The 18,298-nt window shown below is 39.2% G+C and overlaps 1 protein-coding gene, 1 long non-coding RNA gene and 1 pseudogene across 11 annotated transcripts in view; 1 reads left to right on the top strand and 2 right to left on the bottom strand.

The window, feature by feature from the left end:
* The window catches only part of JMJD1C (jumonji domain containing 1C), a 354,666-nt gene that overhangs the window by 76,536 nt on the left and 259,832 nt on the right, over window positions 1-18,298 (top strand). The window lies entirely within an intron of this gene.
* JMJD1C-AS2 (JMJD1C antisense RNA 2) lies at window positions 14,153-14,780 on the bottom strand. Its single transcript, NR_134312.1, has 2 exons — window positions 14,732-14,780; window positions 14,153-14,582 (listed from the first exon to the last, which is right to left on the bottom strand). It is a non-coding gene; the product is annotated as a JMJD1C antisense RNA 2 (long non-coding RNA).
* Window positions 17,308-18,224, bottom strand: PRELID1P3 (PRELID1 pseudogene 3; annotated as a pseudogene).

The raw sequence follows: 18,298 nt of genomic DNA, 5'->3' as shown, positions 1-18,298 counted from the left end.
TTTTGGTCTTCTTTGAAGACTACCTTATCTAAAATTGACCTCTTCCCTCCTCTGTCAACATTTTCTATCATCTATCACCAAATATCACTCTACTTGCTTTGTCTCTTATTTCTTTTTTAAAATAAAAATCATTTAAAGACTGGCTCTTGTTCTGTCACCCAGGTTGGAGTACGATGGCGTGGTCATAGCTTACTGCAATCTCAAATTCCTGGGCTCAGGTGATCCACCCAAGTAGCTGGGACTACAGATGTGTACCACCACACCCAGCTAATTTTTTTTAATTGTTTTTTTGTAGAGACTGGGTATCACTATGTTGCCCAGGCTGGTCTTGAACTCCTGGCCTCAAGCGATCCTTTCACCTCAGCTTCCCAAAGTGATGGGATTACAGGTGGGAGCCACTGCATCTGGCCCTTGTCTCTTATTTCTGTCATACTAAACATTGTACTTCTTTTTCTGCATTAGAATTAAATTGCTCCATTAAATGGACTTTTATCAGCTTTGATAAACTGTATTCCCAGCATTGAGAACATTGCTTAGTAGATAGTAGGTATTCACAAAAAAATTAGCTGGGCGTGGTGGTGGGCACCTGTAATGCCAGCTTCTCAGGAGGCTGAGGCAGGAGAATCACTTGAACTCAGGAGGCGGAGGTTGCAGTGAGCTGAGATCGTGTTATTGCACTCCAGCCCGGGCAGCAAGAGTGAAACTCTGTCTCCAAAAAAAAAAAAAAAAAAGATAGTAGGTATTCAGTAATTGTTTGTTTAATTAATTAAATAGAAATGTCCACCGGGTACGGAGGCGCACGCCTGTAATCCCAGCACTTTGGGAGGCCGAGGCAGGTGGATCACTTGAGTTCAGGAGTTCAGGACCAGCCTGGCCAACATGGTGAAACCCGGTCTCTACTAAAAATACAAAAATTAGATGGGTGTGGTGGCATGCGCCTGTAATCCTAGCTACTCGGGAGGCTGAGGCAGGAGAATCTCTTGAACCTGGGAGGCGGAGGTTGCGGTGAGTCGAGATTGTGCCACTGCACTCCAGCCTAGGTGACAGAGTGAGACTCTATCTCAAAATAAATAAATAAATAAATAAATAGAAATGTCCTAGAATTTTTTGAAATTTATCTTTAATTCTTTGAGATGCATCACTTTTTATTTTGAAAAAATCCTAGTAAAACCAATAAAATAAAACTCTGTAATATGCATATATGAAATCAGAAAACTCCTCAGTCACTTACTGTTATGAATTGACTCTCAGTAAATGTTTTGAATGTATAAATATCAAGTATTGATTATGTATGTGGTCAGTGTTGTAGGCTAACATAGCATTTAAGAAGTAAACCCGTTCTCAAGAAATTTCTACTTCTAGTGGAGAGAGTTGATGAATATTCAGCGGTTGATTCATACTACTGTATACAGTTGTATATTTAGAAACATGTTTGTTATTTGTTCCCAGTTCCTGGCACAGAGCTTCTGATACCCTTGGACTCTCCCGAGTGATAGGGGTGATAGAAGTGTCATTTCTTCTATGAGGCAACCCTTGGTGGACTTCTAGATAACTTCAGGGTATGGTCTGGTCACCAAAAAGACCAGACCTTGAATAGAAGCTTGGAACACTCTCATCTCCATGACCTAACCTCTGGGGAGTGGGGAGTGACTGGAGATAGAGTAAATTACCAGTGGCATATGTAACCAAACCTCTATAAAAGGTTTGCATATGTAACCAGACCTCTATAAAAACCTGTCAAAAGGCTGGGAGCAGTGGCTCACGCCTGTAATCCCAGTACTTTGGGAGGCCAAGTTGGGTGGGTGCCTTTGAGCTCAGGAGTTTGAGACCAGCCTGGGCAACATAGCAAAACCCTGTTTCTACAACCATTACAAAAATTAGCGGGGTGCGGTGGCTCACACCTGTAGTCCCAGCTACTCGGGAGGCTGAGGCTGGAGAATCACTTGACTCAGGAAGAAGAGGTTGCAGTGAGCCAAGATGCTGCCACTGCATCCCAGCGTGGGTGACAGAGTCAGACCCTGTGTCAAAAGAAGAAAAAGCAAAACAAAACAAAAAAAACAAAACCCTGTAAATGATGGGATTTGGAGAGCTGAGAGGGTGACACCCTGAGAGAGGGTGTGGAAGCTGGAAGCTCCCTTACTTCCTACCTCACCCCATGCATTTCTTCTGTTTGGTGGTTCTTGGGTTGTATCCTTTATAATAATAATCTAGTAAGAAAATGCTTTCCTGAGTTCTGTGAGTTATTGCACCAAATTACCTAACTGGAGGAGGGGGCCTGGGAGCCCCCAATTATTGCTGGTCAGTTGATCAATCAGAGGATTGGGGAACCCCATGCTTGTGACTGGTGTATGAAGTAATGGCAGTCTTGTGAGACTTAAATCTGTGGAGTCTGATGCTAACTCTGGGTAGTGTCAGAATTGAATTGTAGGGCACCTAGTTGATGTCAGAGAGTCGGAGAAGTGGTATTGGAAAAGACATCATGTATTTGGTGTTAGGAGGAAAAAAAACTCAATACTTAAGGATTGGATTATGTAGTAATAAGTGCTGTAGATATTAAGAGAAGGAACAATATGAAAATGTGGCATTGTTATACTTTCTATGACAGGAAGGCTTAATGGAGAAGCTGGATTATATAAAGGATGGGTAAGAGTTGTGTTTGATGAAGAGACTGTATTCCAGAGAGGAGAATAATGTGAATATTTGCTTGGAGGCAAGAAATGTATGGCATGGAAACAGAAACACTTGCCACATTTTTATGCCATCTTGAAAACTTTCTCTTCGTTTTCTGGTTGGTTACATTTTGAATTATAATGCATTTATTTTATGCACATTAAATACATAACATTCTGCTGCATTGCTAGAAGTTACAGATGATATAATGACCTAAGTCTCTTCTTTTTAGAAGTTTATAAGTTTAATCGTTCTTGAGTCAAATCTGAAACAAATATGAATACACATACTTTCTTCATATATATTCAACATTGTCTTAATGTATTTTGTGTGTGCGTGTCATATACTTTAAACTGCATTGTAAGTTCTCTGGTATCCTAGATTTATTAAGAATAACTGATTTCAAATTGATATATACCCAGGTTTAAAAATTGTTGGCGTTTTTTCTCCCTGGCAGTCTAGGACATCCTACTCTGGGCTTGTTCACTATACTCTTTACCCTGTAATGGCAAAACTCAACTCTTGATTAGATCAGTCTTCCTGAATCTTTGGACAGTATTTTTGGTTGCTTGTCTGTACATCATTTTACCAGGTCTAATTTTCTTGCTGAAGATCTCACCAGTTACCTCAACCAGTCATCAGTATGTACATTTAATACCTTAGATGTGTAGTCCACAGAACAGTGCTTTACAAATAACAGGTGCTATATAAATATTCTTGAATATTTAAATGTCTAGTACATGTTATTCACTTGGGTCTCCCATGCTTCAAAAACACCTAACGCTGTTAACATTGAGAAGAGGATTGAGAGGAGCAGAATACAAAGGTATTTATTAAGGTGATTATAATAGCCGTAGAATAACAGGCCAGAGAACTGAAAGTGATTGAATAATGAGAATAAAAACAAAGGAAGAGGGTTGAGTGTGGCAGTACAAAGGGATCAAAGTCAGGGTTTTTTTCACTCCCACCATATGTTGGAGTTAACCCTTTAAGTCAGCAGCTGATTATGATGTGATTTTGTTGAAAACTGGGTGATGCTTGGAAAAGGAAAACTGAGAAGAGGGCGTTAAGTAAAGTTGAGGAACTCAAAATGAGATAATTTTGAGAAGGACTTATGATCTAATGCAGGAGGAAGGGAGGAGTGATTGGTATTAGTTCCCATTAATATAGTACTTCCTGTGTGCTACGTATTGTCTTAATCTTGAGCACTTTATATGTATTAGCTTACTTCGTCCCCATGGAAACTTTGTAAGTTCATTACTACTATTATTTCCATTTTATAGGTCTGGAAACTGAGGAATAAAGAGACTAGAAGAATTTCTCCAGCTCATGCATATTATAACTGATAACTAGTATTTGAACCCAGGTCCTATGACTCCAGAGTCCACTTTCTTTTGTGTTATACTAGGTCCCAGTAATAGAATCCAAGGACACCTTTAGGAGTTACAGAATTAAGTGACTGTCAAGATTCAGTCTAAACCGTGTAAAAAAGGGAGAGTCTTCTAAATAAATGGATTAAAGAGAGCTTTCAGTTCTTTTGTATATGCAATACTGTTTTACACACGGCCTTTTTCTGTTTGTGCCTTTTTCCTACAATCCCTTTGCCTTTACACCTACTCTGTGCCTGGTTAATTCCTACTGTCCTTTTAAAGCACAGTTCTTCCAGGAAGTTTTCCCTGACCTCAAGCACTTTTCCTCCTACTTGTTTGTGTTAGTGACTTCATAGTAGGTTGTCTTCATAACTGTTAACTTGTATGATTTAACCTCTCTGAACCATGGCTTTTTTGATCTATAAGATAGGTACTATTTTACCTAAAAGGGTTGTTATATGAATTGAGTGAAATTGTATGAAGCAGTTACCACAGTGCCGTTTTATGTTTCTTTTACTAAACCTGGTTGTGCACACTTAGTGTTAGGGAGACTTCAGTAGACAGTACAGTAATAAAGGTCAGTAACCTCAAGGCTCAGTCTTCAAGGAAGATATTTTGAATTAAAATATCCAGCAACAGTCTGGTGGTTCTCTTCCTTCTGAGACTCAGTTGTCTCCTGGGGTTCTAAGAGGTAGATCATAGAAACTTTTTATAAAGGCTACCATTATTTGGTGGATGCTCAGAGAATGTGTTTGAATTTTGTTGATTAGAAACTTCTGAATGAAAAACAATGTAATTAGAATCATTTGAGGTATTATAAAGGCAGATGTGAATGTCTGGATGTTTACTGAAATTGCAGAATTTTCTTATTGATTTGAGTAATACTTCCTTAATCGACTCTCCTTCGTGTGCTCGCACGCTTGCGCTCTCTCTCTCTCTCTCTCTCTCTATATATATATATTTTTTTTTTTTTTCTTTTGAGACAGAGTGTTGCTCTTGTCACCCAAGCTGGAGTGCAGTGGTGCAGTCTTGGCTCACTGCAACCTCCATCTCCCAGGTTCAAGCGATTCTCCTGCCTCAGCCTCCTGAGTAGCTGAGATTAAAGTCGCCTGCCACCATGCTTAGCTAATTTTTGTATTTTTAGTGGAGATGGGGTTTCACTATGTTGGTCAGGCTGATCTCAAACTCTTCACCTCAGGTGATCCGCCCACCTTGGCCTCCCAAAGTGGGCAATAGTTACTGAAAAAATATCCATCAGTAATCCTGGTTAGTTTTCTGTAATGTGCCTATGTTTCTCAGTGTCTTTACACTGTCTGTAGATTAAGGTTGCTTTCATATCTCACTGTCACCTTAGGCATCATTGTATCTCATTCCCTTGCTGCATACGCACTGTTCTCTAATTGGTAGGTATTGTCATCCTTGTAGCTGATAGAGAAATAAGTTCCTAGTTAACTTTGTTATGTCAAATTACTTAAAAAAATAAACTGTAGACTAGAAGGACTGCAGTATATATGTCAGTGAAGTGACTTCATGACATATAAGTGACTTTTTTATGATCTACATGTTGTTTTTATATATGATAGTATTAGAGAATTATACGGTCTGTTTTTCAATTATTTACCTAAATAAAATAATTTGAGGTGACTTTTGTTAAGGATAACTATGAATAAGATTGATAAAATAGAAATAAGGCCTTAAAAACCATCCGTGTAAACTGAGGTGGTTCAATAGAAATATCCTCCTCAACTTAAATGTATGAACAAATGGTAAGTGTTTAATTCTGAAATTTGTTACTTGTGTGGAGTTGTTGAGAGTCAGGGATATATTTGGTAAGTAATGAAATAAATAAATTTTTAAGAGATTGTTTTTCCTGGCTGAGTTTAAAAAGAACGCATTTCTCTTTAAGTAATATTAAATGTTGTAATTAATAGTGATGTTTATAATAGTTTTGTGGTTTGCGTGGAGGTTCTTCATGTGGCTGTTAAAAAATAATAATTCTCAGTGAAAGCCAGGAACAGAACATTACACAATAACTTACTGTTGTTTCTACAGAGAAGAAAGCTACTGAGGTCTAAAAATACAGCTTTATAAAATGATAGAATTTTGAGTATGTACTAATGGGCATTAATACTTTATCCTGTGGTATTTGAAGACCGTTTTCACACAAGCATCTTCAAATATCAGTGTTATTTAGTCTTTGACAGGTGTTGGATAGCAGTTAAAGATTGAAGTATGAGGGGGCAATCCTAGATTTATCCATTCAGCAGATACTTATTGCATGCCTTGTACATATCAGGCACTGGGAATAAAGTTGTGAAAGGAAGTGGATCAAATTGCTGCCCTTATGGAAATCAGTTTATGGAAGGAGAGACAAAAGATAAGAAGATAAATGAGTATGATGAATGGTATGTAAGATAAAGTACCAGGAAAGAAAATAAAAGCATGAATGTTGAGGGGGCGGAGGTGACATTTTAGATAAGGGAGCCAGAGAATGCCTCTCCGAGTAGGTGACTTTTGAGTGAAGACCTGAAGGAAACAAGGAAGCTAGTCACGTAGATGTCTGGAGTAAGTACCAGGCCTAAGGAAGAGCAAAATACACAGCCCCTGAGATTGGGAATGAGCCTAGCGTATTTGAGGAGCAGTGAATGTGGTATGGTCAGAGAGCAGTGAAAAGTGGGAGAGGAGAAGGAAAAGATCAGAAGGGGAACAGGATGGCAGGGGATAGTTTGTGAAGGACCTTATAGAACATTTTAAGGATTAAGCTTTCATTCTGGATGAGATGGGAAGGCATGAACGAGGTGGTTTTAAAAGGATCCCTCTACTTTCTTTGTTGATAGTAGACTCTTGGGGTGTGGGGTGAGGCAGATGCAGGGAGAGCGGTTAGGAGGCAATTGTAACGATTCTGTGGTAGCATTAGATCATGGTGATAGCAATGGTAGAGGTGGTGAAAAATGCTCAGATTCATATTTATTTCCAACACAGAATTGATAAGAGTGGGTTGCTGAATTGCATCTGATGTGAGAGACAGGGTTTAAGATGGGTTCTAAGGTTTTGGCTCCTGCAAAACATAGAGTTACCATTTTTTTTCAGATGAGAATTGACTGGAGGAGCAGACATTTTGGAGAGTGGTGGTGATAGCGGTAATAATACTGGGGATTGGGAATCTGTCTTTTAGATGTGTTAAATTTGAGATGCTTATTTAGACAGGCAGTTACTTAAAGTATCATGTTTGTTAGTTAAAGGGAGAGGTCTAGGCTGGAGAATCTGGGAGTAGTCAGTATATAAATGGCATTTAAAGCTATCAGACTGAATGAGTTGATGTAGAGAGTGAATATAGAACATACCTAAGTGTTAAACCCTGGAGCAGTTTTTAAAGATTAGATATATGAGAAAGAAGGGACAGGGAGGTATGAAATCCAGAAGTGATGTTCAGAAAGCTTAGTGGAAAAAGTGTTTCGAAGAGGAGGGATTACTGGTTGTGTCAAATGCTGCTTAGTGAAGTAAGATAAAGGCTGAGAATCTACAATTCAGTTTTAGCTAATGAGTCATTGGTAACCTTGATCAGCAGTTTCAGTGTAATAGTGGGAACAAAAGCCTGATAAAGTGAGTTTACTAGAGAACTGGAGGTAGTAGATTGGAGACAGAGATTATTGACAAGGCATTTGGGAAAAAGAGAAATGGAGCAGAGCTTTAGGAGGAAGATAAGATTTTGTAAAATGGAAGACAATATACCATATTTGTATGTTGATGAAAACAATTCAGAGATAGGATTAAGTTGATGATGCAACTAAGGAGGAATTACTAGAACCCTGTCTTTAGGTAGTAGTAGAATTGGCCTTAGATAGTACCATAAACTTAATCCCTAGTAATAGAAGAGAAGAAAGAGATACTGTATTTGAGAATAGCTGTAGGTAGCTAGGTAGTGAGAGAGAGGTAAGAGCTTGTGGAAATCTGATTGCTTCTGCTTTTTAGTGAAATAGCAGCTGATAGGATTTGAGAAGAGAAGTTATGAAATAGTCATCTAGGGGAGTAAAGATTGAATGAAATAAGGAAATTATGTACAGCAAGGACTGACTTGACATTGGTCATGATTTTTTAACTGACATCGTTAATCTTTGATGAATTCATCATTCATTTCCCTACAGTCACTCATCTCCAGCTATGTTCAGCTGATTGATTAGATACAGAAACAAAGTAGGTGGAGAGTTGGATTTAATGATGATTGGGGTTTGGCTGGAAAACTAAGATGCATTCAGAGATGGGCAAATGAATTACTCTAATGATAGACCTAGGATTTTACATTTGGTGAGCAAAAAAGTGAGAAAATGAGAGATGAATAGCAATGAAATGGTGTTGAGATCAGTGAATCTTAGGTCCAGGGGAACTTGAATGTGAAAAAGAAAAATAGGAGGTAGTGGCATGAGAGAGAGAAAGATGCTTGAAATCGAGATTTTTGAGGGATTGCTGTTTGGGGCCATGATAAGGGTCTAAGATAGGATTTCTTATGTCTGAAAGGATAATCCATAGGTTTATATTGCCTGAGTAAAGTTAAAGATCCTCTGGTCTAGAGTATGCCATGGTAAGTCAGTGGTTGAGATAAGGTTGAGGACAAAATCATTAAAGAAGAGGAAATCAAAGAAATGAGAAATGGAACAATTAAAACAGTCATCACTGTGGATACTGAAATCACCAGAAATGATTATTGGACAGAAACTAGGACAGAAATAATATTGAATGGCATGATGAATAACATTTTAGGGTACGCATGAGTGTGGTGGATGACTGGTTGATGGTAGTAGGTTAGTATAATGTGCTGTTCAGATTTCAAGGTACTGATTTTTAGAGATGAGAGGATAGAAGTCTGAAAATCATGGTAGAGGAAACAGCTACACCACCATACAAGAGAGCTAGTAAGTAGCTTCAAAGGAGATTTTAAGAGTGATTTTAACTTGGGGAATTTAAGAGCTGGAGTCATTGTTTACTTCACTGTGGCACCTTTGAAACTGTTACATTAACATAAGGTAATTGAAGAATTGTTATTCCTCTTGTATTCAACTGAATATTTATGGTTAGCTTACAGAAATTTGCAGTTGTGAAACAGAACAGAAACTTGTGTTGAATTCGGCTACTACTTAAATATGCATTTTTAATACTCTTTAACACCTCCTCCCTCCTCATATAATCTCTCAAGGCCTGTGATTACATATTGCATATTGAAGTCACTTCTTTTTTCTCTTTCATAGATATTAATGCCTTCCAATGCACTGTTGTTGATAGAATATAAAACTATGAGGTAAAAATATCTCAGGGTTTTGCCTTTCTTTGAATATAGAATCTAACCTTTCCACCATATTGGGTATTTATTTAGAGAGGGTACTCAAGTATTTTGCCACACTCTTTTTTAGTTTGTTTGTTTGAGACAGCGTCTTGCTCTGTTTCCCAGGTTGGAGTGCAGTGGTGCGATCTTGGCTCACTGCAACTTCTGCCTCCTGGGTTCTAGCAGTTCTCATATCTCAGCCTCCTGCGTAGCTGGGATTATAGGCGCATGCCACCATGCCAGCTAATTTTTGTACTTTTAATAGAGATGGTGTTTTACCATGTTGGCCAGATTCGTGTCGAACTCCTGACCTCAGCCAGTCCACGCGCCTCAGCCTCCCAAAGTGCTGGGATTACAGATGTAAGCCACTGCGCCCGGCATTGTCACCCTCTTAAGTCATTTTCAACTGGAATTCAGGAGTCACTATGTGGGACACTGTGAGCCGGTAGAATATTCTAAAACTCAGAAATACATATTAATCCTCAGAAATTAGAAATTTCTTTTCCAAGTTTTTCATTTTCCATTTCTTGGACTATTTGCTGTTACAATCTGTGTTTACTATAATCTTTCCAAATTAAATATTAGTTTTGTCTCTGTTCTACTTATTTGATTTATTCAGTCATTCCCTCCCACTTTTCAATTATTCAGCCTGTTAAAAGTACAACTGTTTCTTTTCTGGAAAAAATAAGCCAAAGCTAGAAATTGTTCAAGCAGGAGATTTTGTTTGTGGAGTGAAAGTGAACCTCACTAAAATAGCAGTGTGTTACATCCTGGACTGGCATGTATACAGAAAACAGCAAATTGATCTGTAAGGCACTGTTGTAGTAAAGGAGTGCAAGTTATAATCTCAGCTGAATGATAAAAGGTGATTTATATGAGAAGATTACAGGTCAGGAAATGATTTATTCCAAATGCAAATACTTGAGCGCATTGTTCAGTAGAGACAACATTTTTGTGTAGGCTATTTCGCAGACAATGTGAGATTTTAATTGGTGTTCTAAAGATATGCTATTGGTATGAGGAAGTGTTGTGAGGAGGGCATTTTACAGCAGATATTATTCTAGGGCAATTTTTTTGTCCATTACAAATCTTTGTGAGTTTTTTCAGTGCCCTGTAAATTACGAAGTTAATCACTCCAACTGTTGGGAACAGGAACTATTCCAAACTCAGGTGAACTTAGAGAATTTCACTCTCTCATTCTTTCAGTTTGTTTCATCCACCTTTGTGTAGCTTCTTAAAAGCACATAGGCTTGGTCAATCTTTTTTTTTTGTTTGTTTTTCTTAATAGATGCGCTCTGACTTTGTTGCCCAGGCTGATCTTGAACTCCTGGGCTCAAGTGATCCTTCCCGCCTTGGCCTCCCAAAGTGCTAGGGTTTACTGCGTGAGCCACTGTGCCTGGCCCAGGTTGGTCAATCTTTATCTCATTGCTTAGAGAGAACCTCCTCTGGAAATCTTCCTCTCTCGGTAGCTTATTCCTCTCTAGTATTGTGTCCTGAGAACTCCAGAGTCTTAGCCTCCCTGGACTTCTTTCTAGCCTTATCTCCTTGACTTACAAAGGCTCCTGAATCCCATGTGATTTCCCCCTTCTTTGCAGGATAGTTTGGAAACTTCAGTCAGTTAAACTGGTGTGATCAGAAAGCTTACATAATTTGTTTCCCATAACCTAGTCCATTGCCGTTTGTAACGTATGTTGCATCTTAATTGTTTCATCTGTTTTTCCAGGTTTTTTGTTGTTTCAGGCAGAAACATAAATGCCAACTCTGCTAATTCATCTCACTGAAAACAGAAGTCTGCTTATTAAATTTTAGCTTTTTGTTATTAAAATTTAAATAAAATGTACATGTTGGGTACCCAATAGATGTTAGCCCCAAAGCTGCAAAATACTGGCTTGTAGAAGTGTTTTGTTGGTTTATATGACAATTTAGATTTTGGGACATTAAACATAAAAACTGGATTTGGGATTTCTCTTGATACGTTTATACTGTAATATTTTGTTTGCATTTCAGCATTTAGCTGTAACTGAAATGATTCCTAGTTTAGTCACAGCATACCCTCTCTAAATTGTTAGCTTAATTTTCCCTTTTTTTTTTTTTTGGAACTCAATTTATATCGTATGGGCCAGGTACAGTGACTCAGACCCGTAATCCCAGCACTTTGGGAGACTGAGGTGGGAGGATTGCTTGAGGCCAAGAGTTCAAGATCAGCCTGGGTAACATAGTGGGACCCCATATGTACAAAAAATAATTAACTGCATGTGGTGGTACACGTGTGTAGTATCAGCTACTTGGGAGGCTGAGGTGGGAGGATCACTTGAGTGCCAGAGGTCGAAACTGCAGTGAGCCATGATCTCACCCTTGCACTCCAGCCTCAGCATCAAAGCGAGACCCTGTCTCAAAAAAAAAAAAAAAAAGAAAAGAAAAGAAAAGAGTACATTGTTTCTTGCCCAGTAGAGTTTGAAAATTGTCATTGAGGAGATATGAATATTATCATCATGGTTTGTGAATGACGTAATTGAATTATGAGTTATTCCTGATGTTACAGTTAAGCCATTGCTGCTATTTTTTAAATTCTCAGTATCTAAATAAATAAATAACTCCCTTAGGCCGGGCGCGGTGGCACAAGCCTGTAATCCCAGCACTTTGGGAGGCCAAGGCGAGCGGATCACCTGAGGTTAGGAGTTCGAGACCAGCCTGACCAACATGAAGAAACACCATCTCTACTAAAAATACAGAATTAGCCGGGCATGGTAGCGCTTTCCTGTAATCCCAGCTACTCGGGAGGCTGAGGCAGGAGAATCGCTTGAACTGGGGTCGGGAGGCAGAGGTTGTGGTGAGCCCAGATCGCGGCATTGCACTCCAGCCTGGGCAACAAGAGCAAAACTCTGTCTCAAAAAAAAAAAATGATAATAATAAAATAAATAAATCCCTTGTTTGAGATCCATGTATATAGGAAAACAGATTATTTTTATTTTGTGTTTATAACCTATGGTAGGTTGACAGTGAAGAGAAGAACTCAGGACAGTTAATGAAAGCATCACCTTTTCTTTACTGAGATCTCCTGTGTAAGGAAATCATTCAGTTAGTCTTAGAATTGTCATGAAAGATTAAGAAATGTTCATAGCATTGTGATCATCATCTTAGGTATTCAGTCGGTGAATTTCTGTTTTTAGGTGTAATCTAAAAGTTCTGTAAAATAAACATCAACAATGTTGTATGCTTCTTATGGCTGTTCTAGGTCTCTGTGTTTTTATTATGAACTTGTATCTGATCTTTTCAAGTTTTTGTCTCATGGTATTTTTTCCTCAATGCCAATTAACAGTGGTTAAACAAAATAGATAAGGTTTTCCTTCTAAGTCCAGAAGTAGACATTCCAGAGTTGATGTGATCATTTAAGGATGCCAGGGCTGTTGAAGACTGGGCTGTTGTTCTCTTGGTCTTTTCCTCATGGTCAGTTACAATATAGCTGATACTGTTGTTGTCTTCCTTAGTTCAGCTCCAGGCAGGAAGGAGGAGGAAGCAGAAAAGGGCAAGAAGGCTCATAGTGTCACACACACACAATGGGTGGGTTCATTTGCTTGGTGGATGACAAGTCCAGTGACCACAACCAAGTATGATTTCACAGGGGGATTTTATTACTTGCACCAAGTAAGGAGGACACTAGGGATAGTCCCAAAGGCAGTGCCTCCCCAAACAAAGGTGAACACCCGGGCTAGTTAGCTGAGTCATTGTATTAGAGGTGGAATAAAGGCAGTGCAGGCACATTTATCATGCTTTTACATACATCAGATGTATAGAAAATGGCACATAAACTACTTCCTGGGTGGGGATTTTAGTATGGTAGTGAGGAGAGTTTGCCAGAAGTTCATCTCCAGTTTAGTCATCTCTGGACCCAACCACTGGGCTGAGCTTCTTTCTGGAACTTCTTGAAACAACAAGAACTCAAGGCGCAACAGTTACAAAAGTGAGTTTTCTTTTTCTTTTTCTTTTCAGACGGAGTCTTGCTCTGTCGCCAGGCTGGAGTGCAGTGACGCCATCTTGGCTCACCGCAACCCCTGTCCCCTGGGTTCAAGCGATTGTCCTGCCTCAGCCTCCCGATTAGTTGGGACTACAGGCATGCACCACCATGCCCAGCTAATTTTTGTACTTTTAGTAGAGATGGGGTTTCACCTTGTTGGCCAGGGTGGTCTCTATCTCTGGACCTCGTGATCCGCCCGCCTCGGCCTCCCAAAGTGCTGGGATTACAGGCGTGCGCCACTGCGCCCGGCCGCAAGTGAGTACTTTTTCACAGTGCATACCCCAAAACCTGGGGACCCTGAGTTACAATATCACCTTAGTTTGCCCCTAGTCAAGGAGCTTTCTAAAACTCACCCCAAGTCATCTCAAATATTACATCTTATTTACCAGAATTACGTCATATTATCGTCTCTGTCTTCCAGAACCTTAAAAATTTTAGGATAGTCCATTATTGCACCTAGCAAAATCAGTGTTCTTTTGGTAAGAAAGCAGGAGTAGATGGATACTGTATTTACAACTTGAAGTCCCTACCTCAGAAACCACCATACTTTAGGAGCCTTCTGTTATACCCATAGGTTGGCCTCATTTTCCATAACTGTGCCTCTTCTGAAAGCATAAAACTACAATATGTCATTCTTACATATTTCTGTACATTAATCTTATTTTTTCCCTTAGCTTTTATTCTCTTAACTTCCTCAATAATTAAGTTGGTCTTTTTGAATGAGATGGTTGCCCTCCAAATGTTTTGAAAGCAGAAGTGATTAATGTTTGTAAGTCAATATATGTTATAGTATTTTATTGTTCATACTCTGTCATTTCCTCCTTTCACAGACCAGTAGATATACTTGGTTATAAAGTCTATAATCCCTGAATTTGTTTGCTTTTCATGACCATCTGCACTGGTTTTATTGTCATCTAATGTAGGTGTTAAGCCATTGTCACTTTTTTAAAAAAATAGTTTTGCCAGAGTCAGTGGATCACGTCTATACTCCTAACACTTTGGGAAGCGAGGTGGGAGGATTGCATGAACCCAGGAGTTCGTCTTCATCGAACGAAACAAAACAAAACAAAAATTAGCCGGTATGGTGTTAAACACCTTGTAGTCCCAGCTACTCGGGAAGCTGAGGTGCGAGGATCTCATGAGCCCAGGAATTCCAGGATGCGGTGACCTGTGATCATGCCACTGCTCTCCAGTGAGTGAGCTCTTGTCTCTAAAATAAATAAATTAGATAGTTTTATTGAGATATAATTTACATAGCATAAAATTAAACCTTATAAAATTCATTGATTTGTAGTATACCACAGAGTTGTGCAACCATGACCCCTATCTAATTTTAGTATACCCCCAAAAGAAACTCACTATCCGTTAGCAGTCACTTGTGTTCCTCTTCCTGCCACTTCCAGCCCTTTGGCAACCGCTTATCTACTCTCTTGTCTCTATGGAAATGTCTGTTGTGAACATTCCATATAAATGAAATCATATAATCTGTGCCCTTTTGCATCTAGCTTTCTTTCACTTAATGCTCTCAAGATTTATTCATGTTGTAGCATGTTGTTAAGACAACTTCCTTATCAGATAATGATTTGCAAATATTTTCTTCTATTCTTTAGCTTGTCTTTTCACTCTTGATTTTGATGAAGCCCAATTTATGTTTTCTTTTGTTACTTGTGCTTTTGGTGTCACATCTAAGAAACCATTGCCCAACTCAATGTCACAAAGATATTCTTATATGTTTTCTTCTAAGAGTTTGATAGTTATGGGTCTTACATATTGGTCTCTGATTTGTTTTGAGTTAGTTTTGTATATGGTGTGAAGTAATTTCCCAACTTTATTTTTTGTATATGGAAACCCAGTTGTCCCAGTACTATTTAAGAGACTCTTCTTTCCCCCATTGAGTTGTCTTGGAACCATACCAACTTTTTTAAAAAGTGGCTTTAGAAATAGTTGTGCATAAATAAACATGATTTTTTTATTCTTAATATTGAATCTGGATATTTAGAAATGGGATAGAGTTTTTAGTCCTTAGATAAGAGCTTACTTCCCTGTTTACAATTACTAGGATAGCAAGTAGCTCACAGTAGGAACTCTGAATAGGTTTGTTGAATATATATGGATGGTGTCTTGAGAGGAAATTGAGTGGGTGAATTTAAATGCTGTTGGAGCATTCAGTTAGAGATACTAAAATCATAAACCTTCTTATTTGTAGTAATATAGTGCTATAATAAGAGGCATAGTGATGATTCTTCTTTTTGCTTTGGTTTTTTATTTTGATTGTGCTGAGTATTCATACTTGTTTGAGATGCCAAGGTGCTGCTTTCTCAACTGGCAAATGTTTTAGAATAGGAAAACCTTTGCTCACAACATTTTCCCTGCAGGCTACTTTAAATTTTGCCTTGAATCTCAAAGCCTATGTAACATTGTATCAAAGCAACTCGTTTTATGCATCTGTGTTGGTCATTAATGCTGTTTGCCAAATAGTTTTTGTTCTCATCCTTCATGTTAGGGGCTGTGACTAATTCTGGCCAATAAATGAGTTGTGAGAAAAACAGATGTTTGAAAGGAAATTGTGCATCCTAATATTGCTGCAGTATTTAAGTTCCAGTATGAGATCTTCAAAGCTGTCTTTTTTTTTTCTTCTTCCGTTCTCAGATCCTGAGGCAACATTTTGAGGTGCTATTCCCCCTGAGTTAAAAAAGACCTGTCAGGCTGGGCTCGGTAGCTCATGCCTGTAATCCCAGCACTTTGGGAGGCTGAGGTGGGTGGATCACCTGAGGTCAGGAGTTTGAGACCAGCCTGCCATCATGAAGAAACCCTGTCTCTACTAAAAATATAAAATTAGGCAGGTGTGGTTGTGCATGTTTGTAATCCCAGCTACCCGGGAGGCCGAGGCAGGAGACTCTCTTGAACCCGGGAGGTAGAGGTTACGGTAAGCTGAGATCGTGCCATTGCACTCCAGCCTGGGTAACAAGAGTGAAATTCCGTGCCCCTCCCCCCCACCAAAAGAAAGACCTGTCAATAAGGAATGGACAGCCTGAAGAAGTAAATTTTATTTTAAGCCAGAGATTTTATGGTTCTTTGTGTAGCTACATAACCTGGCTTACCTTGACCGAGTATTTTTTTCTTGTTAGATTCTGAGACTTAGATAAGAGTATTATTATTATAATAGTATGGGTATTTCAGAAATACTTAGATAAAAGTCAAGGATAAGGGAAAGTTAAGATACATGGTATTGAACAATTAGCATTTTTGAGTTTTACTTTCTTGCCCTTATTGTTTTTTCTCTTTTTTTCATTGTTCTTAATTTTCTTTTATGTTTTGTTTCCATAGTCTAACTGGTGAGGTAATCACGATCAATAGTAACTTGAACTGAAGAATGGTTTTGTTCCAGTATATGTTTCTGCTTATAGTCACTGAAAAGTTTCTCATCTATTCCAAAGCCCTGCTTCTGTGCAAATTTAGTTCCTACTACATCAAGAAAGGAATTTTAAGGATCAGAACTACAGAAACATTCAGTTGATTTCTTTGACCTGTTGAACACTGTTCTGACATTTCAAGTAGTGAATGTTTTGTAATGAATGAGTCTTTTGTAATCTTTGTGAAATAATTTGTAAAATTTCGTTAATTGATCTTTTGTCAATATTAATGCAAGTTAGAGAAAAATGTTCTTTACTGGCACTGTGTAATTGAAATCAGTTACAAAGAATATTCTTAGTATGCAAACTTAAGTATATACATTTGCAAAGGAGAATTTTATTTAAAAAAAGTGATTGATGTAGTTTCTTTACTGTGAAAAGAAAAATGTTTTCCTGTTTTTAAGGTGACTTGTTTTTTTAGTCCCCTCCTCTCATATGAATTCCTTCATAAAATCTATGATGTTTGGTAAAGTAATTGATCAGCTGTCTTAATATATATATATGTGTGTTGTGTGTATTTTTAGGGCTGGAAATTGATTTTTAATGATAAAGTACAGTGGACAGCACAGAGGGGGCTAAGCCAAACTGTCTGGGATGCTGTGGTGGCAATGAGCTGGCCACACAAACTGCTGCTGCTGCTGCTTCTAGGTGGCTGCCTTGCTGGTGAGGTCCTTGCCTTCTCTGTAGCTGCCAGTGCCATCTCCTTTGCCTGCTCCTTGGCTTCCTTGGCTGTCTCAACAAGTGTTTTAGAAGGGGCCTTGCATTTCATCTTTGCCAAGATATATTCAAAACCCTTCATAGTCTTGGTCACGTTGCTTTTGAACTGGGCAAGACCAAATTCCTGGACACTTCTGGAGACACCAAATAAGCTAGAGGAGACCCAGGCTTCTCTGCGGATTTCGGTCCAGCCACTGTTGTTAGAGTTCATACAGTAAACACACTGTTTCTCCACCACCATCAGCCGGGCATGGTTGATGTTCCAGGTGAAGGTGGTCATGGTCTGATTCTGTGGGTCCACAATAGAGTCCTCCAGGATGTACACTGAATGAAGAACATTGGCAGGAAACAGTTGCTTGGCCCAGTGGGACATCCTGTTGGTCTTGGTCAGGAGTTGCTGGGACAGCAGTTTCTGGTCAGCAGTCACCTCCCGGTGTACTGTGTCTTCCGTCAAGACATGTTTGCTATAGGGATTTGGGTACTGATGCCAGAAGGCGGTGAACACTTGGTCCCAGGAACTCTGGAGCACGCCCTGGCCCAGGAAATACTTCACCATCGTCCCGGCTGGAGTGGGCTCCAGAGTTCCTGGGACCAGGTGTTCACCGCCTTCTGGGAGACACGCGGGGACCGGAGCTCGGCGAACACCCGCCGCCAGGCTCGTAGCTCAGTCACCACTGCACCATGCCCAAGCAGCTGCTGCCGCCACCGCCATGAGTTGTCCGCTGTCTTAATATATCTTAAAAGAGTTGTGTATAGCAAATGCTGTTATAAGTGTGGACGGCATTACTTACATACA

This window comes from Homo sapiens, chromosome 10 (genome assembly GCF_000001405.40).
Source record: "Homo sapiens chromosome 10, GRCh38.p14 Primary Assembly".
NCBI classification, from domain to species: Eukaryota; Metazoa; Chordata; class Mammalia; order Primates; family Hominidae; genus Homo; species Homo sapiens.
This window is presented reverse-complemented; position numbering and strand designations above follow the sequence as displayed.